The sequence below is a fragment of the Homo sapiens genome, chromosome 6 (genome assembly GCF_000001405.40).
Source record: "Homo sapiens chromosome 6, GRCh38.p14 Primary Assembly".
Classification (NCBI taxonomy): domain Eukaryota; kingdom Metazoa; phylum Chordata; class Mammalia; order Primates; family Hominidae; genus Homo; species Homo sapiens.
In genome coordinates, this window is record NC_000006.12 from 158,039,423 (window position 1) to 158,063,187 (window position 23,765).

Here is a 23,765-nt window from a genome sequence, read left to right on the forward strand (position 1 = left end):
GTGGTCTGCAGGGGAACCTGCCTGGGACCCTGTGAGATTTACCTGTTTCAGGTGCCAGTGATCTGCTGGGATTCTGGAGAGGTCCCTCAGGGGAGCCTGGCACTTCCTACCCCCTTGAGTTTGCAAAGTCACAACTGAGGGCCTGGGTTGGGACGGTGTCATGAGCTCTCCATAAGCTTTGCTTATGGTACAGGAGCAGACTGTCTGGCGCTTCTGGAGACCTTTAACGTGCTCCTGTAGACAGTCGGGTAAACTCATTCTGGTAGCACAGCGTGGCCTCCCCCTCCACCTGACATCTGAGGAAGTGGCAGGCTCTGCATCTCGGTGGCCTCGCCCCAGGGTGCAGGGAGCAACTTTGAGGAAATTAGTGCTGAGCCTCCAGTAGGAAGGAGGACTGTGCTGGGGAGGCAGGTGAGCCCCTTGTGGTGCCGCCCGCAGGTCACACTGGCCTGGGGCCCCTGCAGAGGAAACAGGATCCACCAGCCAGGCCCGCTGACCATTTGGAAGTGGAGCGTGCACACAGGCGGCTGTGCGGTCATCGTCTGGCAAACAAATGATGGGACCGGACCAGGAGCAGACTGGCTCCCTGTGGTGGGGACTCTTGGCAGGCGGATCGGCTTCTTAGGAATTAATTCTCAGGAAGCCAGAAAAGGGGGACCCTGTGGCACCCTCTGCTTTTGCTTTGGTTTAACATGTTTCCTAGGAGGAATAATTAATCTTCTTTCTCTGAGGCAGGCTGTGTGTGTGTGTGCATGGGTTGTATGTGTACAGTGTGTGCGTGGTATGTGCATTTATGTGTTGTACATGTGTGTATGTGTCATGTGCATTGTGCATTTGTGTATACATGTGTGTGGTGTGTGCCTTGTGTTTGTTTTTCATGTGTATGTGTGCAGTGTGTGCATTTATGTGTTGTATACACACATGTGTGGGTTGTGTATGTGTTGTGTGTCTGCACGCACAGATGTTGTGTACATGTGTAGATAGCATCTCAGCCTCCTTGGGAGGAAGCCTTGAGTCTTTTTGGCTCTGCTGAGTCATAGCTGGTGGGCTTGCTCTGCAGTGCTGACTCACCACACAGAAAAACAAGACCAAAAAGTCCCCTCAGTCTATTAAAAAAAAAAAAGGATGTAAGATAAATATTTGGCTATTCAAGATAAGGCCACTGACTCATTCAGGGAGGTTAGGATGACTGCGTGTCCTCCCAGGAATGCAGACTTGGAGATAATTGGTTTGCAGACACTGTATCTGGAAGCAGAAGGTCAGCAGAAAGCCTTTCAGATAGAAGGTATATGTACCCCTGTGAGTTTTCCTGCCTCGTCGCTCTCTTTTTATGGCCATTAGGTTTCTGTTCCCACTGCTCTGGAAGCGTCACTCAGGGTCACCCTCTGGCTGCTCAGTCTGGGGTCTAGGCACTGGCCTGGCCTCATCACAGCACTGGCACGGGCCTCCGACTTTTCTTCCCGTGGCCCCACTGCTCTTCCCGGTCTCCCTCCCACCTCTTGTCTGTTCCTTCTTGAATCCCTCCTTCTTCCCACGACCCAAGCTCTCTCCGACGCCAGCAGGTGCCCGCATGCATAGTCATAGCGTCAGGGCCTCTGGGGAAGAGAAAACAGCTTCGTTTTTTGAGTGGCTACTCTGTGCTGGGACTATGCCCCCCTCATTTACCCCTCACAGCTCATCCCTTCTCCGTGCACAAGGTGACATGAACTTCATGTAGAGAGAGGGAAACTGAGGCTGAAGATGGCTAAGTAATGTGCCCAGGGCCACCCTGCTGGGCAAATGGGGGTTTGCAAAGTGGCAGTCGGACCCAGCTTGTGCTAATACCAGAGCCCACTTTCTCTCCTGCTTCCACTCTCTGTCCTGCCTCCCCACCCCAAGAGCCCTCTGTCAAAATGACATCTGTGAGGTGAGACATCACTTCTTCCACTGGTATTAAAAGTTGTTCGCCCAGAATGGAAATGTATCACTTGCATTTGATGGTCAAGTTATGCCTACTGCCTTGGGAACAAAGAAGACAGTCTTGATGATAGGACGGGGTGCAGATGTCACCTACTTCCCCTGTGGAGGACGGGGTGGAGAACTTTGGAGCTCCTTTCTTCTTGCTCCAGTGTGGGCAGGGAGGGGCATACAGAGCACTGACAGCCCTCAGTGTTTTCAGAAGCTGGTTCTGGGCAAGTCTCAGCTTGGGAGGAGCCTGATGTGATGCTGGAAGTGGCATTGTTAGCACTTGGGGCAGTCAGAGTGAAGGGAGACATTCCTCAGCCTAAATAGATCGTGGGCATTGGTTTTTGTTGTTGTTTGGTGTTTTTTGGATTTCACTCTGTTGCCCCAGCTGGAGTGTCGTGGTGCAATCATAGCTCACTGCAGCCTCATCCTCCTGGGCTCAGGTGATCTTCTTGCCTCAGCCTCCCGAATAGCTGGGACTACAGGCATACGCCACCATACCCGGCTAACTTTTTAAAAATTGTTTTGGTAGAGATGGGGGTCTCACTTTATTACCCAGGCTGGTCTCGAACTTTTGGGCTCAAGCCCGCCTCCCACCTTGGCCTCCCAAAGTGGTGGGACCGTAGGCGTGAGTCACTGCGCCCAGCCTGGATATTGTTAAACATTGTCTTTATATACAAATGTTGGTTTCTTTTCCAGGAACCTGGGCCTATGCAGGGCACACACGCCGGTCAGTTGTATGTACCTAATTTCACGGTAGCCAACTATGTCTGTAGCCGTTCAAGCAACCTGCTATTTTATTCTGTTTTGTCAGTAGAAGAATGGAGTTCAACAGCTTTGCTGGTACTCAATACCTGGAAACAGACAGCATGTTCTTAACACATGCTTTTTTCCTTTGGAGATTAAGGGATAGTATTCCAGTTTGACAATGTAGATACCAGGCTCCTGTAATTCCTGTGGCCCAGGGAAACAGTGGCTCTAATTTTCAGGTCCTCCACTGCAGAATGACTCATTCCTGTGTGATCTGAGCGTGATCTCGCCTGCATGGGAAGCTGCCCTGTAAGGGAGCAGGCCGGTGAGGAACGGAAAGGACCACAGCAGCGCCCAGGCCGCCCTGCCAGGCCAGGCTAGAGTTGCGCAGATAAAGGCCCCGCATCTGATAAGTGTCGCCGCCTGCCCCTGCTGGCGCTCAGGATCGTACTTCTTGTCCTTTTAAAACTCCCTTGCACTCCAGCGTCATTGGAGGCCTGCAGGCACACTCTGAAATAGCTGTACGTGTGGGTGGGGAGGAGATAGATGTCTTAAAGTGTACGGATCATTTGTTTCTCTGCAGGTGCTGTCACACTGGAAGCTTGTGGAAACCGTGTTGTGTGTGTTAACTGAGTGGTGTGTTTAAGAACACAGTGGGGCAGGGCCAGGACCAAGTACAAGATCAGGTTGAGTCTTGCATTGTCAAGTACGAGACTGGCTAGCACAGTCAGTGAGGTCTTTTGGCTATCACTGGTGCATTTTATTTCATTCAGTCCTTTTCTCATAGCTCTCTTCTGCTTAGCTATTTGCCAAGGCAAAAATAGAGGGCTCTAAGGAAGGTTACATTCCAGAGCACACTGACTTCTATTCATACAGGGGGTGGCGGAAGGCTGTTCCTGGGATTTTCAGGGTGACGATAAGGTTGTGCCCTAGAAGTGTGAATTCCCGGAGACCCTGGGAGGCCCCAACCCCCAGCAGACCCCCTCCTCAGAGGCTGGTCGACAGCCAGCATGCCCGCCCAGTACCTGGCGAGAGGTCAGGGCGCATTGCCGGATGGGGGAGCAGAGGACGCCGGAGTCCACCGTCCGCCCTTCATTCTGGCTGGTGTCGGGTCACAGGTGGCCGGATCCCGTTACCCAGCCCAGGACGTTCGGTTTCATTGAAGAATACCTTTCCCTTTCTGTTTCCTTGTGCCGCAGATGATTTACATGGACGATGGAGTGTCATCTTTTGTCCAGATCAGAGGCTCCGTTCCGCTGTTCTGGGAACAGCCAGGGCTTCAGGTAGGTCATGAAAAAACTTAAATGTCCCCTTGTGATGTTGTCCGCCCTGCCCTTCCCTTCAATAGCTGGGGAAGATTTCTTTTAACACGTTCGTTTCATGGCATAGTTTCCAGTCTTTTTCCTCAGCCCTGTTGTGTTGAGCTGAGCTATCAAAGTGTGCACACGTGTGTGCATATGCATGCGTGCGTGTGTGTAGAAAACACAGACACCACTTTGTTGTTTCTGGTCGTCAAGGATGCTGTGTGAAACCGCTGACTCGGGAACGGTGCTGCGGTGCCTGCTGAGTGGGTGCCGCGAAGTGAGCTTGGGTAGCACTGCCTGAGGTTAGACCCTGAGTTCGGTGTACTGAGGACGTTTCTGAGAGCCGTGACTCTCATGGAGGGCTTCAGGAAGGCTCTGTGGCTGCGTAGGTCTGGCACCCGGTGCTGCCTGTTGTGGGGCCACGTGAGACTTCCACAGCTTTCCCGTGATTTCTAAAAATACCCCTTGCCGTCCAAAGCAGGGCTCTGGTCAGTGCCAGAGAGATTTGGCATTCTTTCTCCTGGGAAGAGCACAGGGTGGGGACACATTCCAAGAACACATTTGTCATCAATGGAATGACACGCTGCCTCCTTCACCAGGGTCTCTAACAAGGTGGGTTATGGGCCGAGTGGACTGGAGGGGCCTCCCCACTAATCCCCAGTCTTCCTCCCTGTCCCGAGGGGACGTGGGTGCCTTCAGAAAGCCTCTCGGCCAGGGCCTTTGTCGCCTCTCGGCTCTTCTTACCGACAGCTCTCGTGTGACTGCATTTGGGTTGCCAGCCAGTGGCTACTGGGGCCCAGAGTGCCATCTGCCAGGTTCCAGGGGGTGTTTGACAACGCTGGACTCAGGGTCCCCAGTCCTGGGTTCAGCTTCTTAGCCTGCTCTTTGACTTGACCCTGTGCCAGGAGCAGGTGAGTCACTTGTCCCCATGGCTGTCAGCACGCTGCAGTGACAGCATTGGTGAAGTACTGGGTCAGCCTGGGCAGTGAGATGGATGAATGGAGGTCTCGTTTAGGCTCCACGCTCTGGTAGGGAGAAAAGTCTTGATTAACATTCAGTCTTTCCACTAGAAAGAGCGCACCACACTGCACGAGATAACTGACGGCCTCCGGAGAAACGCTCCTGAGGACAGCTGTGACACAGAAACTCCTCCGGAGGGCTGCCCAAAGGAGGTTTTTGGAAAAATAGCTTTATTGCAATATAACTTACACACCCATTTAAAGCCTACAACTTGGTGCTTTTACTGCATTTATGGTGTTGTGTAACCACCACTGTAATCTAATCTTAGAACACTTTGATCACCACTAACAAACTTTGTCCCCGTTAGTGGTCTCTCCCATCCCCTCCAAGTCTCCCTCATGCCAACTCGACTGTTCATCTACTGTCTTTATCTATAGATTTCCCATTCCAGACGTTCCAAAAGAGTTTTTGAAACCTGATTTTCTTTAAATATGGAGTTTTCCTTTGGAAACTTCTCGAGCTCTGTATTCAGGAGAATGAAAGAATTGATCGAATGAGTGTGGCACAAAAAGGAGACAGGGAGACCATGTTGTGTTTCATGTAAAGTTTGTAAGAAATCCAAAAATTAGGGGAATGGTCATGATGGATTCTTAGAATTTGGGAAGGACCCTTTGGAATTCATCCATTCCACCCTCTGACTCTCAGTTCAGGGGTCCTCCTTTTTTTTTTTTTTTTTTTTTTTTTTGAGATGGAGTCTCACTCTGTTGCCCAGGCTGGAGTGCAGTGGTGCAATCTCGGCTCACTGCAACATCTGCCCCCCGAGTTCAAGCCGTTCCCCTGCCTCAGCCTCCAGAGTAGCTGGGACTACAGGTGCCCACTACCACACCCAGCTAATTTTGTTGTATTTTTAGTAGAGATGGAGTTTCACCATGTTAGCCAGGCTGGTCTTGAACTCCTGACTTCAGGTGATCCACCCGCCTCAGCCTCCCAAAGTGCTGGGATTACAGGCGTGAGCCACCGCACCTAGCCAGGCCAGTTCAGGGATCCTCTTCCAGGACCTCCAAAGGGCTGTCCTCCAGGCCACAACTGGGGATGGTTCCGACTCTTGGTGAATTCCTCCTGTATTGCACTGCTGCGTCTGTCTGACTCTAGAGTGTTTTGGGGTGCGCGGGAATATGTCTGATTCTTCTCCGTGTGACTCACCCTCAGTCCTTGGAGGGAGTCTTCTGGTTCCCTCTTCTTCTTCTTGTCTTCTCTAAGGCCTCCCAACTCCTTTGGCCACCTTCCCTCCTGTTTCTAAGACTCTCAATGTTCTCATCTCCCTCATCTAAAAAATGACACTCCTTTTTGTCGTTCCCCTCTTGGATTTCATTTTGGTCTTACCTTGACCTTCGTGCTGCCTCAGATGTAGCCTGACCCGCCATGGGATGACTGTGCCTTGGTCTGTCAGGGGCCAGGAGCAGTGGACCACGAGGTCTCAGCTTTTTGGCAGCTGTTTCACCCTCTTAAATTCCTAACATTTGTGCTGCACCAAAGCCTCCATGGTTTCTTCTTTTTGTTTCTTGTTTTGTTTTGTTTTTGAGACGAAGTCTTGCTCTGTCACCCAGGCTGGAGTGCAATGGCACGACCTCGGCTCACTGCAACCTCCACTTCCTGGGTTCAAGAGATTCTCCTGCCTCAGCCTCACAAGTAGCTGGGGTTACAGGCACCCACCACCATGCCTGGCTAATTTTTTTTGTATTTTTAGTAGAGACAGGGTTTCATCACGTTGACCAGGCTGGTTTTGAACTTCTGACCTCAAGTGATCTGCCCGCTTCGGCCTCCCAAAGTGCTAGGATTACAGGCGTGAGCCATCGCGCCCGGCCTCCATGGTTTCTTCAAAACAAGCTTCAGAAGGCTTTAGTGTTCCTTAATCTTATTAAGGATTTGCTAACCTTTGGGCCTAATACCTGTGTTTAGCCTCTAAACACCACTCATCATCAAAGAGAGATGAAGTCATCTTCACAGGGGGCCGGGAGGGCAGCGGGAAGTGGTGGTCTACCGTCACCGGCTTCAACTGTCACTATCAAGCCTAAGGCTGCTTCTAGTTATTTTTCTCCACTTTGAACTTTTTCTCTTCCTTCTTCACTTAGGTTAGATGAAAAGTGCAAAGATTTTGGGGTGAGTAGCTTGCGTATTAAGCTGCAATGCTGTCCCTCCTTGACAGCTGCCGTTGGAAACCCAGGAGCCCAGCAGGATGGGGCAGGGTTGAGCAGAGGGTGGTGGATGAGGATTTGTCTGCATGTTTTCCTGGGTAATGGTACCTTCAGTACTTCCTGACTCCATTTCTAGCAGCCGTGTACCTTTAATAAATTTCATTTTTACGTGTAAATGGGCTGTGCAGTTTATAAATAGCCACATTGAAATTTTACCCTTAAAGCAAATTGCTCCCTGGTCTAGCTAGTTCGAGAATCTATTTATGATCTGTGTCTGTGGTTGACAACGTTGCTCCCCTGGTCATTGTAGAAGCTTCCCCCCACCATATGCTGTATAGACACGTGCCTTGCCAAGGTGAGTTCAGTCTGTCTTTTGAAGTTTCCTGCAACTGAACCAAACGGAGGAGGATGCCGAGTAGAGCAGACCCCTCTTGCCCTGCCTTCACCTCTTTCCTGCCAGAAACCATTCGCCAAGTTTGTGGAGTCGTGGCGCTGGATGGGCTTGTGTGTTTGTACCTTCCTTTTTTCCAAAAAGGACATGAGATGGCTTGTAGTATAACAGTTTCAAAAATAAGTGAAGAGGTCTGGATGAAGGGCAAGAGTCGAATTGGTGCCCACGATGCATGCCGTGGGTCTTGTGTGCGTGGGAAGGAACCTGACGCTTGTTCCAAGCTTCCCCGCAGCCACCACAGAAAGAACCACAGTCACAGCCAGTTTATGACAGTGACTCAGAGCACGAGCTTTGAAGCGACGCAGACCTGGGCTCAAATTCAAACTCTGGCTCCCCTGCTTTGTAACCATGTGTGTTTGAGAGGCTCTTATCTGTGCCAAGCCTTAGTTTACTTTTCTGTAAAATGGGGCTAACAATATCTACCTTATAGGGTTCTAGAGAGGATTAAAGAGCGTAATATAAGAATTTGGCTGGGCATGGGGGCTCATGCCTGTAATTCCAGCAATTTGGGAGGCCAAGGTGGACAGATCACTTGAGGTCAGGAGTTTAAGACAAGCCTGGCCAACATGGTGAAATCCCATCCCCACTAAAAATGCAAAAATTAGCTAGGCATGGTGTCAGGTTCCTGTAATCCCAGTTATTCAGGAGGCTGAGGCAGGAGAATCACTTGAACCTGGGAGGCGGAGTTTGCAGTGAGCCAAGATTGTGCCACCACACTCTAGCCTGGTCAACAGAGTGCGACTCTGTCAAAAAAAAAAAAAAAAAAAAAAAAAAAAAAACACACAGTATCTAGAATCTAAAAAGTACTCAAAATGGCAGCTGCTATTGATACTAATAGAAACAAATGATAACACCCAGGAGATAAAACCAATGGTGGCATCCGGAGAAGCATGGCTCTTGGTGCCGTGAGCACTGAATGAGAGTTTCCTCCTGTCTTTGTGGGAACAGGGACACCGTGAGATGTAGTAACATGAAGACAGCTTCCTGGTCAGTCTTATCTCTCATCCCTCATAGACTCATCGTAAATCAGTAACCCCAGATGAAGCCATTTATTCATCCCAAACATTCACTGAGCGTCTGCCAGGTGTAGGGGGCACCAGGGATCAGATACAGTCCCTACCTTCAGGGAGCAGGGGGCAGGACAGGGCAGTGTTGTGTGGACAGAGCCGTGTTGGAGGAAGGGAGAGGCCCCGGGGGCAGCTCTCCCAGGCTGAGGGTGTGGGGTGGGCTGCCCAAGGGTCCAGACTGGGGAGGGGTGAGGAAGAAGCACTCAGGCAAGGAAGGCAGCCCTTGCAGAGGGAACAATGGGTGCAGGTGTTGTAACCCTTGGGTTCACAGTGATCAGGGAGCATCACTGGGTAGCTTCTTGAAGTCCTGGGCATGAAGGGAATGGGAGGAGAGATAGGAGAGGTGAGCAGGGCTGGGTCAAGGGCCTGTGGATGCTACACTGAGGAGTTTGCATCCCATACCAGCAGCTACTCAAGCAGTACTCCCCAACCTTGCTGCACAGAAGACTCTGCTGGGGAGCTTGAAAAATCCTGATACCCAGGTTGATACCATACACATTAAGTCACAATATCTGGGGCCGGGAGCCAGGCAGCTGTCCTTTTTGAAGACCCATGGGTGACTCCAGCATGCAGAAAAGTATGGGAACCACTCGGTGCTGTGCTGGCAAGCCAGTTTTATTGGGGTCAGACTGGGTGCAGGGAGCTTTGGTTTGTAGCATTTGTCCATTGCTGTGGTGTAAATTCTCCCATCGTGGCCACTTTCAACCTACGGCTCCACATCACTGAGCTCAGAGTTGGGACCAGCTGGGTGCACCGTCGGCTTGCAAGCCTGCAGGAGCTGGCTCCAGCACACACTGGACACTGCTAAAGGGCTGCAAGAGGTAGAGACACAATTAGACAGAAGTCTAGGCAGTGTTAGTTTGGAGGGGAAAGACACCAGATGGGAGGCCGTTGAGCTGAGATTTTTGGGTAACCTTAAGTCTGGTAGGAGTGGTGGGGTGCAGGGGAGAGGTGTGGAGGTGCTGTCTGCGATCCTTGGGCCTCTTGAGTGCTGATCGAGACTCTGCTGTGACTTCCACAGCCAGGAGTTCTCCAGACCCCGACTATCCTCATGGCTGTCTACCTAACCTCAGTCTCTGGTCTATAGGATTGAACTAATGACTTTAGGGGCCAGATAAGAGTAGCTGGCCCTTTGCCCAGAGGGGAGGAGGACGGGGTGGAGGAGAAGGGAAGCTACAAAATGCAGTGACAGTGGTGGACCCTGCCCTCAGCTGCAGCTCGTGCCTGTGGCTTCTGACACCCAGTGACCTCAGGACTAGGTGACACCAGAGAAGGTGGATGCTGGTCAGTGTTGGAGCAGGACAGAGGGGAGGAAGGATATGAGGCCCAAGGAACCCAGACAAAAGGGATGCACGGGGTGACGGAGGAAGGGTGAGCTCCGGAGAGAACATGAGGCCCAGCTCCCCTCCACTTTTGCCCAAGGCCTCACTGTGTTGCCTTTCCACCTGCCTAAAAGAAGCAGCTTAGGGTCATGACTCAGGGAGAGGCGGTTAGACAAGTCCAATAATACAACTTGTTTAGGGGATGGAGGGACCCAGCCTGAGGCCCTGAGCCCAGGGAAGCAGCTGTGGCAAGCTGAGCCTGGTCATGGTGTCCCTGAGGCTCTGCAGGTATGGACATGCCTCTGCTGGTATGCATGCAGCTCTGCAGGTGGGGACACGGCTCTGCAGGTGGGGACATGGCTCTGCAGGTATGCACGTGGCTCTGCAGGTGGGGACACGGCTCTGCAGGTGTCGACATGCCTCTGCTGGTATGCACGCAGCTCTGCAGGTGGGGACATGGCTCTGCAGGTATGCCTGCGGCTCTGCAGGTATGCATGTGGCTCTGCAGGTATGCATGCAGCTCTGCAGGTGGGGACATGCCTCTACCAGTATGCACGTGGCTCTGCAGGTGTGCACCCGGCTCTGCAGGTATGGACACAGCTCTGCAGGTGTGGACAGGGCTCTGCAGGTGTGCATGCAGCTCTACAGGTGTGGATGCACCTCTGCAGGTATGCACATGGCCCCTGGAGCTGTCTTCCCTGCTGTACCTTCTACCCCTTCATGGGCATTTGTAACCTAAGCCAAAAGGGAACATAACAAGTCCAGAAATAAGTCAAAACCAGAACCACTCAAACTTCAGCGTGTGTGCATAGGAATCTCCTGGAGGGCTTGTTAAAACACAGATTCCTGGCCCCACCCCTGGAGAGTCTGGCTCAGCAGATCTGGGGTAGGCCCAGGACTTCGCATTTCTAACAAGCACCCAGAGGAGGTCCAACGACCACACTTTGAGAATCACTGGTCTAGACTTAACAGATCCCTTCTGCCCATTCCCTGCTCTGGTCATTCACCCGGGGGTGGTGCTCCCGACTGACTTCTTAGTTCTCTGAGGTAGAAAGGTTTGTTGTCAGCAGTGATACTGGACTAGCCACTGCAGGGGATATTGACCATGCCTGTGACAGTTGGGCCCAGCCCTGTCCACACGGAATGCTTGTCTAAGTCCAGGATAAAAGACAAGCCTGAGGCCTCAGAAAAGATGTGCTGCAGCCCCTGTCCGGGCTGTGCCTTCTGCTGTGGGCAGCTGATTCCAGGGCATGCCGTCTGCTTGCCACATTCCCTGAGTCCTCACTGATGTGGTTGAGGGGACCCCATCAAAGGCAGGTGCCTCATTTCACTCTGCTTTGCTGCCTGTTCCCTGGACTCAAGGGCATAGTTTCTGTCAAATTAATTTGCGCTTGTGCAGGTTTGTTAGAAACTTTGAAGTGCTTCTGGGTCTTTCCATGGGGGTTCTGGTTAGGTGTCATCACCCAGGCCAGGGGATTCAGCGTCTCCCATCCCTTTCCCACCTTTCCATGACACCCAATGGCATGTTGACTCGGAGGGCGCTCAGTAACTGAGGAATGGACTGCTGACTGATAGTGCAGTTTATATGTTAACGGGGGAGCTATAGAGCCTGGGGATTGGAGCCTGCTAGGTCCAGTCATCTGTGCAACAGTTTCTACCTAATTAAAAGAAGAGGCTTTGGGTTATGACTCAGGGAGAGACAGTTAGACATGTCCAGTAATAGAACTTGTCACGACGGAGAGCCAGGCTCCTCAGCCCTGGCCTGCCAAGCTTGTATTCTCTTCTTACTGTGCTCCCATGGGGAATGATCCTATAAACAGCTGCTGCTCATTGCTGAAGCCAGGGGAGACTTCTTGTGATGACTGACAGACCACACAGAGCAGGTAGCCCCTCTCTTGGGTTTTAGCCCTGGTGACCTCTCATAGGGTGGCTGAGGGGTACACAGACCCGCTGACTTCCCTCAGGGTGCAGGATGGAGCAGGCCTCTCGGTAGTGCGACCATGAAAGTTTTCAAATTTTCTGAGATTTCCTCAGCCAGGTGTTGATGGCCATGGGGATAAAGGACAGAGGTAACACAGGCAGCAAAAAAATAAAAAAAAACCCCACAGGTTTGGGGTGAGCCTTTCTTAGGAGCTCCATTAGCCAACAGCCAAGATACCTCATTTTGCACTCACTTCACTTGTGACCAAAGTGTCTTAGGACCAAAAGGGATTTGGGACTTTGTTGAACTGTTTATATAAAAAAAACCTGGCTGGGCACAATGGCTCAAGCCTGTAATCTCAGTACTTTGAGAGGCCGAGGTGGGTGGATCACTTGAGCCCGGGAGTTCAAGACCAACGTGGGCAGCATGGCGAAACCCCATCTCTACAAAAAATACAAAAAAAAAAAAAAATAGCCAGGTGTTGTAGTGTACACTTGTAGTCCCGGCAACTTGGGAGGCTGAGGTGGGAGGATCATTTGAACCTGGGAGGTTGAGGCTGCAGTGAGCCGTGATTGCACCTCTGCACTCCAGCCTGGGCAACAGAGTAAGACCCTGTCTCAAAGAAAAAAAAAAGAAGAAGAAGAATAAGAAGAAAAGAAAAGGAAACCTTCTCCAAGGAATCTCTAAATCTATTGCTGAGAAACCAGTTCTCTAGATGGGTGCTTTTCTTGAGTCTGAGATGGGGCAGTTGTATCACCTGCAGTGTTGAGTTATACAATGATACATGAAGCATGATAATAGCTGCATCTCATAACATAGATAAATCTGCTGACACTACTTTTACAACACTCAAACAGAAGCAAAACTAAAGAGTGCATTTTTAACTACTTATTCTTGAAATAATTTCAGACCTACAGAAAAAATTTAAGAACAAGAGGGAACTCCCATATGTCCTTCACCCAGATTCACTAAATTTTAACCTTTTGCCACACACGTTATTATTTTTTGAACCGTTTGAAAGTAGGTTGCATATATCACATTGGTGTTAGTCCATTTGCCTTGCTGTAAAGGAATACCTGAGGCTGGGTAATTTATAAAGGAAAGAGGTTTATTTGGCTCATGGTAATGCAGGCTATACAGGAAGCATGGTGCCAGCATCTGCTTCTGGGGAGGGTCTCAGGAAGCTTACAGTCATGGTGGAAGAGGAAGGGGAGCCAGTGTGTCATATGACGAGGGAGGGAGCAAGGAGAGGGAGGTTGCAGGTTCCTTTAAACAACTAGCTCTCCTGTGAACCAGCAAGAACTCATTCATTACCATGGGGTTGTCACCAAGCTATTAATGAGGGATCTGTCCATATGATCCAAACACCTCCCACCAGGCCCCACCTCCAACACTGGAGGTCACGTTTTAACGTGAGATTTGGAAGGGACACACATCCAAACCATGTCAGTGTCTCTTTACTTAAGTGCAAAATATACTCTCCTACATATAGTATAGGTACACATTTGGGAAATTTAACATTGACAAAGTACTTCAATCTCATCTGCAGGCAATATTCCAAATTGATCACTTGTCTCAGTGATGTCCTTTGAAGCACCTTTTCCCGCCTTGAGTCCAGCATCACATACTGCATTTTGTGGTCATGTCTCTAGTCTTTAATCTGCATCTGTTCCTCGGCTTTCTGTCTTTCAAAACATTGATGTTTTTGGAGAATGCAAGCCTTCTTTTCCGTTAAGTCGAGGGTCCCTACATTTACATTTTCCTAGTGTTTCATTATAATCACATTCAGTGTATGGATCCCTGACCAGAATGCTACCTACATGATGCTGTATCCTTCTCAGGGTACCAGATCTGGAGGCACACGGTGTCCATCTGCCACTCATTAGTGATGTTAATTTTGGTCACCCAGTCAAGGTGCTATTCAGTTTCTCCACTTACGGTTAATATGTTTTCCCTTCCAACTAATCAGCAATCTATGGGAGACACTTTGAGACCATGCTGGTATCCTGCCTTTTACTAAACTTTCCCTTAAGATTTATCATCAACAGATAATTTTTGCTGAACAATTATTTACTATGACAGTTGTAAAATGATGATTTTTAAATGATTTCCTCCAAATTTATTACTTGGTATTCTACTATAGAGCCCTCTCTTGTTCCCCATTCACCCACCTACACACCCACCCACCTGCACACTGATTCACCCATCTGTCACCCATTAACCCATCCATTCATCCACTCATTCACCCACCCACCTGCTTATCCACTCATCGTCCACCTATCTACCCACCCATCCACCTATCCACCTACTTGTCTACCCACCATCCACCCATCCCTCTATCCAGCCAGTCATCCATCCATCCATCCAGTCATCCACCCATCCAGCCATCCAGCCATCAATCCACCCAGCCATCCACCCATCCATGCACCCACCCATCCACCCACCCACTCACCCACTTACCTATCCATCCATCTTTCATCTACCCATTCACCCACCCATCCATCCATCCTCACATTCACCTGTCCATCCATCCACCCACCTATCCATCTACTGATGCATCCACTGATCCATCCATCCACCCACCCATTCTCTTATCCACCTTTCTATCCATCCACTGATCCATCCATCCACCCACCCATCCATCCATCCCCATTCACCCATCCATCTATCCATTCAGTCGCCCATCTATTCACCCATCCATCCATCCCCCCATTCATCCATCCACCCATTATCCATCCATTCAGCCATCCACCCATCCATTCACCCATTCATCTATCCATCCACTCACCCACCCACCTACCCATCCACCCATCTATCCATCCACTCAGCTATCCATCCATCCATCCATCCATCCATCCACTCAGCTATTCATCCATCCACCCACCCATCCATCCACTCAGCTATTCATTCATCCATCCATCCACCCACCTACCCATCCACCCAGCTATTCATCCATCCATCCATCCATCCATCTATTCACCCATCTAGTTATCATCAGTATAGATTCATGAATTTCTATTTTATTCATCAGGTTAAAATCCATTACTGTCCTCATACAGTTTGATGTTCAGATTGTCCCAGATTTGGCCAGCAAAAGCCCCTTTAAGCTGACTCCAGCAACAATATGTATTTTAAATGTATTTTCTAAAACTAAGTTGAGTATTAAATAAATAGTTCTATTAATAATAAGGCAAATTTGATCATTAGGATGACTCAGATTTTAGGGGGAAATTAGTGTCCCTGAAGGCATAAAGGAGACTGAGAAGCAGTTTCTGTCTCCACAGTTGGCTTCACTGACCTCTGTGCTATCAGAGAGCTTAGGATCTGACATCTGCCTCATCATCTTACCCTGGATCTGCTTTCTGTGGAAGAATTGCAGCAGACATGGTCATGTTGCAGTTAGGACTGGGCAGCAGCAAAGCCAGACTCGAGGCACCTAGACCTGAGTTTGGAGCACTGTTAGCTGAATCCAGAGAGCTCAGCCTTCCTGAGCCCTGAAGAGACCACAGAGGTGGCCTAGTGGGTGCCACATGCAGCCTGGCTGGGAGTAAGAAGGAGAATGGGAAAAACCATGGCCTCCTTGGTTTGCAGAGAAGGAAGAATCACTGTTGTTACTTCTCTTTGCTTTAGGTTGGCTCCCATCATCTGAGACTCCACAGAGGCCTGGAAGCCAATGCCCCTGCTTTCGACAGGTAGGGATTGTCTGACACCATCCAAGCCTGTCATTGTCATCCTTAGACATCGTCCTCCCATCAGACACAAGGGAGAGGGTGCGACGGGAAAGGGAGGACCCTGAACCCTGAATCTAAAGCTGCTTTCCCTTTGGTCCTTTATGCAAGAAGGGAGATGACAAAATGGGATTTTTACTTTGTTCTCAGGTTTCCTGAAGGTAAATTAATGAATGTTCAGGTAGCACTTTATAATTATTTTATCTTACCAGTTTCTTGCAATGAGGCTTCATCTCTATGCCCTGGTTAATAAGGGATCATCTAAATTATAGGGTATTTGAAGCTGTTTGTTTTTTGTTTTAAAATAGTATAGAATAAATAAGTATAGAAAAGTATAAAGTGAAAAATAAAAGTACCCTAACTCCCAGTTACCACTCTCAGAGATTTTACTATTAGTAGTTTTTTACATGTCATTCTAGAAAACAATTTTGGCATTTTATGTGTGTGTGTGTGTGTGTGTGTGTGTGTGTGTATTTAAATACACAAATTGGATCATAACACATTTACTGTTTTGCAGCTTGCTTAAGAAAAGCAGAGCTATTTGTAATATGTATTTGAAATAATAACTTCTTAAAAGATTTGCTTATTTAATCTAAATACTCAATATTTTAAAATTGTCTTAGTGAATATAGTAAAAATTCTCGAAAGTAATGTGTTAAGTGTTTGAGTCCTTCTACCTGAAGCTTTATTGAGACTTTAAGTTTGCTTTCATACTCTTGTTAAACATAACACTTGTCATATGAGCCCAGATGTGACCCCCTGATTAGTGTGTGACATGTAATGCGCTTTTCTTTAAAGAGATATTTAATCAAGTATAGACAAGACCATTGCCTTTTCCAAAGCATTATTAGTATGTCCTGAGCATTCTACATGCGGAGTTCTTTCAGTTGACATTCATCTATACTAAATTGTCTTAGGAAATAGTGAACATGAAACCAAAAATGAAATTCTACCTGGCTGAGCTTGGTGGCTCAGATTTTAGGGAGTCGCCTGGGTGACAGAGCGAGACTCCATCTCAAAACAAAACAAACAAAAAACAAAAATATTCTACCCGAAGCTGACCCAAAACAAGAGGGAAGGGTCATGCTGGGTTCGCTTCAGGAACCCTCCTATGTTTAGGAGCTTTCTTAAAAAATACATACATCTAGTTGAAGCACATTTGCATAGACTGCAGATTTTTCAGAATCCTGGTAATGCATGGTGTGTGAGATGCACGTACCACAGAGAATGAGACCTCTCTCTCCTCACAAGCACCCCAGAGGCTGCCTTGCCCCTTGGAAAGCATTCCTAAATCTAGGGGTACACTTAGATCTCTTCTGCAAATCACAGGACAAGCTGCTGAAAGGGTGAGTCTTTCTACAGGCAGCTACTGTGTCCAGGAAGTCTCTTCTGTAATGCTTCTTACCCACGACACTGGGCTGGAGGCAGGAGCCCTCCCGTTCCCTTGCAGGTGCTGCTGCTCTCATGTTCATTGCTGACTATGTTCCCCTCATTCGAGATAACGTTTGGAAATAAGGTGACATGTCTGCCTAGTGGCCGCAGTGGGGCACCATGAGGGTCCCCCTGAAAGCAGGCTGCCCAGGTCCTCGATGGTGTCCCTGGACTGGCATGTGCATTGTCCTGGGTGCTTCCCAATTCTCTTCTCTGGGACATCACTGCGCTCTCAAGAGTCGTGCGGTTCTCTGATGGATTTGGTTGAGAGTAAATCCTTTCTTTCCCCCGCAAAACCTTCACACAGATAGTTTTTCTTCCCAGAGGATGCTTGTTTTCCTTTGCCTGAGCTGCATGGGTGCCCCTGTTAGCCGAGGCGGTCTCTTGTCACTTTGCTGTATGTGCTCCATATCTGAGGAGGGCTGTTTGCAGCAGGACTTTGGCTGCAGCTGCTTGAGTGGGGTCTTGTCATCTCTGTGTGGTGATGAGTCTCGGTGGAAGGGCTAACCTTTCACAGGGCGGTGCCTCAGTCTCTCCTCACAGGACAGTGAACCCCTTCTCCTTCCCCGCCCCGCTCTGCGGGCGGCTGCTGTGCACATCAGGGTGTGCTGAACTCTTGGTCCCTCCCTGAAGATGAGAAGGATGCTTCCAAATAGAAATCTGATTCCTCAGTATCCCGAAAAACTCCTGTTTTCCAAGTAGCTTCCTATGACAGTAACCCGTAGGCAGGGGAAGTGAAAAAAAGGCCTCAATGCTCAGGGTGACCCAGGAAGAAGCCCGTATGATGCCGACCTTGCTGCTGGTGCCAGCGTCCCCTTACACCCTGGGTGCCAGCGCTCCCTTACGCCCTGGGTGCCAGCGTCCCCTTACCTGGGTCGGCAGGGCCTCTCAGCTCACCAATAACGAGCATTTTACAATAAAGGGAAAGAAAGAGGAACCACGTCCCACACACCAAGCACTGTCCTTGTCACTTTCACTCGTCTTTTTAGTCCTCCTCGCCATTCTCCGCAGGAGGGGAAGTAGCCCTGCTTTATAGATGAAGGAGCCAGCTCAGAAGGGATGAATCATTTGATCAGGGGAGTTTGGGGTTGGGACAGCATAGAGTAATGATGAGGAATAGTGAGTAATAATGAGTAATAACAGTTTCCTTCTGGCCCTGGGCTTTGGAACCAGTTGAGAAGAAGGGGCAGGAATGAGACAGGAAGAGATCAGAAATGGGCCTTGTTTCCGATGAGCCACATTGTGGGATGTGGCTTGGATGTGTGGCCACGGTGGGCTCCCTCACCAGGGGCAGAGCCTGCACGTGTCAGAGCCAGGCCTGGGATGCACCTTCTCTGGGCAGACCGACCCAAAAGAAAGCCCACAAGGGCTGAAGCCACACACAGCCCGCCCCAGGGCTGCCTGGAGCTGCACGTGGAGACGGGAGCCCGGGAGGGTGCTCACCCTTAACTTAGGCCAGGGAGTCAGCAGGCAAGCCTAACTTCAAACTACCCACTTCAAAATCCATAGTCTTTCTACTACTGTCCCTTAAAGTTAGTAAGAGAATGTTTTCTCTTACTGCATAAGAAAAAAAATGATTTTTTTCATGATCATTATTAGCTCTTTAAAAAATTCCGCTCATAAACGTGTCATTACAGAAATTTGGAAAAGAGAAAGATGTTTAAAGAAGAAAAGAACTTGAATCATATAAAATTCTACCACTTTTGACATCATGTGTTTTTTTCCAGTGTTTTTTCTATATTTAGGCATAAAGATTGCACCATTAAACGATAATTTGACATCTGCTTTTTGCATTGTATCATTTCCCTATGTTTTGTTTAAGGCACTACATTTCAACATGTTTAAATTTGAAATGTAAGGTTACTTTTAAAAAGCTGGTGATCAAGAATAAATATTGGAATCTCTCCCTAATATTTCAACATACATATTTAGAAAGTAGCTTCCAATACAAGGAATGTTTTCCAAAGCCTGCAAGTTTTGTTGTATCTCCTTGTTGTGGTTTAGCATAATGCAATATAGCACTTAGATTGAAAACAGGATGCTGAGTTGAGAGCTCTCCTGCCAGTTGTTCTAGTTTTGAGAAGGGTGGGTACCAAGCAAAATAAGAGATTCATTTCACACATGTGCACATTGCATGTGTAAGACTCTAGCCCAGGCACGGTGGCTTATGCCTGTAATCCCAACACTTTGGGACGCTGAGGTGGGAAGATTGCTTGAAGCCAGGAGTTCGAGACCAGCCTGGACAACATAGCAAGACCCTGTCTCTATGAAAAATAAATAAGTAAAAATTAGCCAGATGTGGTGGCATGTACCTGTAGTCCCTATTACTTGAGAGGCTGAGTTGGGAGGATTGCTTGAGCCCAGGAGTTTGAGGCAGCAGTGAGCTATGATCGTGCCACTGCACTCTAGCCTGGACAACAGACTGAGATCCTGTCTCAAAAACAAAATTCTCTTGATGAAAGTTCAGGTTAGGTGTTCTAGATATAATGGGAGGTGCTTTATAGAAAGTGCAGCATATCCTTTGTCTGATTCCAAACAAATGTAGAAGTCTACGCTAGCTAGTAGTAATGGCAGCTGGGAGGTGCAGGTTCTCTCCACCCAGGCTCATTTTCCACGATTTGGGTCATGGGGGACAGCTGGTCCTGGACTGTGGCACTAAGAAAGCATGACTCCTGCCCCGTCTTCCCTTGAGGGGCAGAACAGGGCAGAGTCTGCACCTGTGCCCGTGCCCAGCATCACGCCCACCCCGCTGCCTTTGCAGGCACATGGTGCTTCTGAAGGAGCAGTACGGGCAGCAGGTGGTCGTGAACCTTCTGGGAAGCAGAGGCGGAGAGGAGGTGCTCAACAGAGCCTTCAAGGTAAGGCCAGGCTGTCCTCTCCACAGCTGGGCTGGGCGGCAGGTGGCCATGGTGGAGCGTTGAGCCTGGAGGTGGCTCCTGCAGGGACTGGAGCTGACAGCCCAGCCCTCCTTCGTTTCCTGAGGCTTCCCCAGCATTCCGACCAGTGAACACGGCAGTGCTCAGTGACTCGGGCCCTGATACAGTGAGTGTAATTTCTTTTCTTTTTTTTTTTTTTTAAGACAGAGTTTGGCTCTTGTCGCTCAGGCTGGAGTGCAGTGGTGCAATCTCAGCTCACTGCAACCTCTGCCTCCCAGGTACAAGCGATTCTCCTCCCTCAGCCTCCCAAGTAGCTGGGATTACAGGCACTTGCCACCACGCCTGGCTAATTTTTGTATTTTTAGTAGAGACGGGGTTTCACCATGTTGTTCAGGTTGGTCAAGAACTCCTGACCTCAGGTGATCCACCCGCCTCGGCCTCCCAAAGTGCTGGGATTGCAGGCGTGAGCCACCGCGCCCGGCCTAGTGAGTGTAATTTCTGTGAGCTGATGGTTGGGAGAATTTGCTCAAAGTCAAAACAGAGCATCTCCTGTCCCCAGCCATGTGTCCCTTACCCTCCCTCCCCATGGGGCTTTGAGGGCTTCTGACCTCTCAAGGTACCCCTCTCAGTCCAGCCCAGGAGCAGGCAGGCCTCCCTTTCTGCCCTGGCTGGTCCTGGGTGAGTTCCCCCAGCCCCACAGGGCACCCGGCCTCAGGGCTCAGGAGCAGGAACTTCGGTGGCTTTCCCCTGCTTGCCGGCTGGCCTTCAAATTTCCCCCTCTTCCTCGGGCTTTCATGGCAGCTCCTGGACCTGCTGCTGCTGGGCTCCTGTGGGCTCCTTCAGACTTCCTTGGGGGGCTTTTCCTGGCGATCCTGGACAGATCCTGGGCAGGGTCACAGAGCCATGGGAGCAAGAGACTCCGCCCACCTGGCCAGGTTCCATCCCTGTGCATGGATCCCAGGCCTCCAGCCCCCGCCCCCTGCTCCCCAGGCGCAAGACGTTCCAGAATGAGCCAAGGGGGCTCCTGGTTCCTTTACCAGCCTCCATGTCCCCTGCCTAATAGAGAAAAACTCTCTCGTTGTTTAAAGCTCAAAGATATCCCTTACAGAGAGAGCTCGAAGTCGCCTCACTGGGGGTTAGGGCGATCTCTGAGCCTTTCCCTCTGCTTAGAAATGCCACATGCTCATGCTCAGAGCAGGCACTTCCTGGTTGCCAATTTTATTTGGCCAGACCTGCTTTTCCTGTTTGGTTTGTTGCTATTAGCAACGAGCTCCAGAAGTGTCTCCCTTCCCACCCATCTTGGCAGTGATGCTGGCTGCTAATTTGAAGGAAGAAGGGAAAAAGCTAAAAAATAAGAATAATAATAAGAACCCCAAGTCCTTTTCCCCTATGCCTTGAGTTGTGGCCCCTCCCATCAGTGGGTGAAGTGCCCGGCACTGGTGAGGGCGGGAGATGGCAGCCACCTCATGCGGAGAAGGGTGGGCTCCTGGCCAGGTAGGGAGGGGCACTCTAGCTGAAGACCTGGGTCATGGCCCTGCCTGGGGTGGCCCTCAGCCACCTCAGCTTGGCCCAGACCAAGGTTGGTGGCCCAGCAGCCTGCCCAGGGCCCAATGGCCATCAGTCCTGCTGGATGAAGCACTGGCTGTGGAATGCATGGCACTGAGCCACCAGGCACTGTTGGGCTCCTCCAGCTTCTTGCTCACAGCAAGACTTGCTTGATGATGGCAGCACTGCATTGATTTACACTCAGACCTATCACAGGCAGTCACGTTGAGTCAGATCAGATGACCCCCAAGTCCTTCTAGTCCTTCCAAGTCACTAGGACCTCTGGCTGGGCAGAGGCTGGACTGGCCTGACCTGAAGCCACAAGGGCATGAGTGCAGGGTGAGAGGCCTGGAAGCCGGGTGGCCTGGGTAGGCGGACAGTTTGTCCTTCATCACGGGGCTCTCTGGGGAGAAAGCCAGGGAGCTGCCAGGCCAGGGAAGCCTCATATGGAAGGGAGGGCTCTTAAGGGCATCCTGGTGCCATCAGCAGCCCCTTGACCTGCTTCCCATCTCTCCCCACCTTCACTCTGGCTCCCTGACCATCCTGAAGTAGCATCGGGATGTGGGACCCACCTGGGCCACTTCAGCTGGAGACTTGGTCTCTTCAGAGCATAACCACCAGAGGCTGGTGCGCGGCAGGATGGGGCCGGTTACTAGGGCAACGGGGAGCTGGATTATGAGCTCTGCAGCCTGCCACAGCACTGCTATCTCTGAGGGCCTGGGGCACCTGGGCCACCTGAAGAACAGAGCAGTCCTTCCTCACCTGTGCCCTCCAGAGAGCCCTGCAGGAGTATGATCTCTCCAGGAAGCCACACCTGCTCTGGCTTCTTTTGCTCAAGGGGGACCTTCTGCCCTTTCGCAGGCAAGACGCTCTTTGTGGGTTTTGTCCCCCCAGGGCCTTTGTCCTGTGCTTCCCTTTTGGGGTCAACTGCCTGGTCCACTGTGAGCTTCCAGCTAAAGCACGTCCTGCGGCGAGTCACCTTGGTTAGCCGCACGGGTCAAGCTCTGCAAGGAGCTTGCCCTCCTCGTCCTCCCTTCCCTCTGCTCCCCTCACCGCCCTCCCCTCCTCTTTTCAGAAGCTGCTCTGGGCTTCTTGCCACGCGGGCGACACGCCTATGATCAATTTTGACTTCCATCAGTTTGCCAAAGGTGGGAAGCTAGAGAAATTGGAGACCCTCTTGAGGCCACAGTTAAAGCTGCACTGGGAAGACTTCGATGTGTTCACAAAGGGGGAGAACGTCAGTCCACGGTGAGGCTCGCTGCGCACTGTGCCGCGTCTTCTGCTGGGGGGAAGCGTCAGTCCACGGTGAGGCTCGCTGCGTGCTGTGCCTTCTGCTGGGTGAGGCGGCAGAGGGGCCGTGCAGTCTAGGACATGTGCCCTATGAGGGGCAGCTTCCTTCCCTCCCCACTCAGTTACCCTTGTGGTTTCCTGGGTCATAAGCTTGGCGACGCCGGGAATCTTGGGTTCCAGCTTCTCATCTCCCTTCCCACAGTAGGAGACAGGCTTTTGAATTTCTCAAGGAGATGTTGAGTCATGGTTTTCTGGCAAAAGAAATGAACTAATAAAGGGGACTGCATTAAAACATGGAGCTCCACGCTGTGACGCAGGCCTGTGAGAGTGAGGGCCACAGTCGCGGTGGGATGGCTGGCATAGACTTAGATTGCTAGAGGAGACCAGGGTATGGACTTCCCTGTTCAGAGCAGAGGAGAAAAACGAAGTCCAGTTCCCTCAGGTCACATGCAGGGGGTCCTCATTATTTGCAGATTCCATATTGGCTTATTTACCTATTCCTTAAAACTGATTTGTAACCCCAAAATCAGTATGCAAAGCATTTTTGCTGGACAGAGTATTTAAATACTCTGGCCTCGTATTTAAACAAGTTTCCTTTTTAAGATTTAGTACCATGTTTTTCACATTTGTGGGGTCTTTGTTAGGGGCCCCCCTTTGTTCGGGGATCTCATGGTTTAGAATGGCCCCAAGCAGTGTGCCGAAGAGCTGTCTAGTACTTCTGAGCACAAGAAGGTGGTGATGTGCTTTATGGAGAAAATGCACGTTAAGATAAGCTTTGTCCCTATATGAGCTACAGTGCTGTCGGCCATGGTTCAGTGTTAATTAAGCAAATATATATATTCAATAAGGTGTCTTTATATGGAAACATACATAAAACAAGGTTGTATATTGATCAGTTGATAAAAATGTGACCAGAGGTTTGCAGGAACCTAACCCTATATTTCCCCTAGGAGCGATGGTTCTGTGTTCATGTCCAATTCA

General features: G+C 50.0%; 1 protein-coding gene across 13 annotated transcripts in view, besides 2 other annotated features; it reads left to right on the plus strand.

Moving 5' to 3' along the window:
- SYNJ2 (synaptojanin 2) overlaps nucleotides 1–23,765 on the plus strand; it is a 117,881-nt gene that overhangs the window by 58,127 nt on the left and 35,989 nt on the right. For 9 of the 13 annotated variants that reach the window (XM_047419472.1, NM_001410947.1, NM_003898.4 and 6 more), the window contains 4 exons: nucleotides 3,894–3,977; nucleotides 15,545–15,606; nucleotides 19,835–19,931; nucleotides 22,570–22,742. In XM_047419472.1, the coding sequence (XP_047275428.1) occupies nucleotides 3,894–3,977; nucleotides 15,545–15,606; nucleotides 19,835–19,931; nucleotides 22,570–22,742 (416 nt within the window). Of the gene's footprint in view, nucleotides 1–1,249; nucleotides 1,286–3,893; nucleotides 3,978–15,544; nucleotides 15,607–19,834; nucleotides 19,932–20,004; nucleotides 20,116–22,213; nucleotides 22,356–22,569; nucleotides 22,800–23,765 lie in introns of those variants that run through there. The other 4 variants (XM_047419473.1, XM_005267198.5, XM_011536226.4 and 1 more) reach the window with 4 other exon arrangements.
- Nucleotides 1,513–2,048: an enhancer, noted in NCBI's record as "H3K27ac-H3K4me1 hESC enhancer chr6:158461967-158462502 (GRCh37/hg19 assembly coordinates)". NCBI's record gives its function as "activates a minimal SCP1, AML or CMV promoter by ChIP-STARR-seq in naive H9 embryonic stem cells {active_cell/tissue: H9 hESC(naive)}" and the evidence as "EXISTENCE:reporter gene assay evidence [ECO:0000049][PMID:30033119]".
- Nucleotides 10,044–10,658: an enhancer, noted in NCBI's record as "H3K27ac-H3K4me1 hESC enhancer chr6:158470498-158471112 (GRCh37/hg19 assembly coordinates)". NCBI's record gives its function as "activates a minimal SCP1, AML or CMV promoter by ChIP-STARR-seq in primed H9 embryonic stem cells {active_cell/tissue: H9 hESC(primed)}" and the evidence as "EXISTENCE:reporter gene assay evidence [ECO:0000049][PMID:30033119]".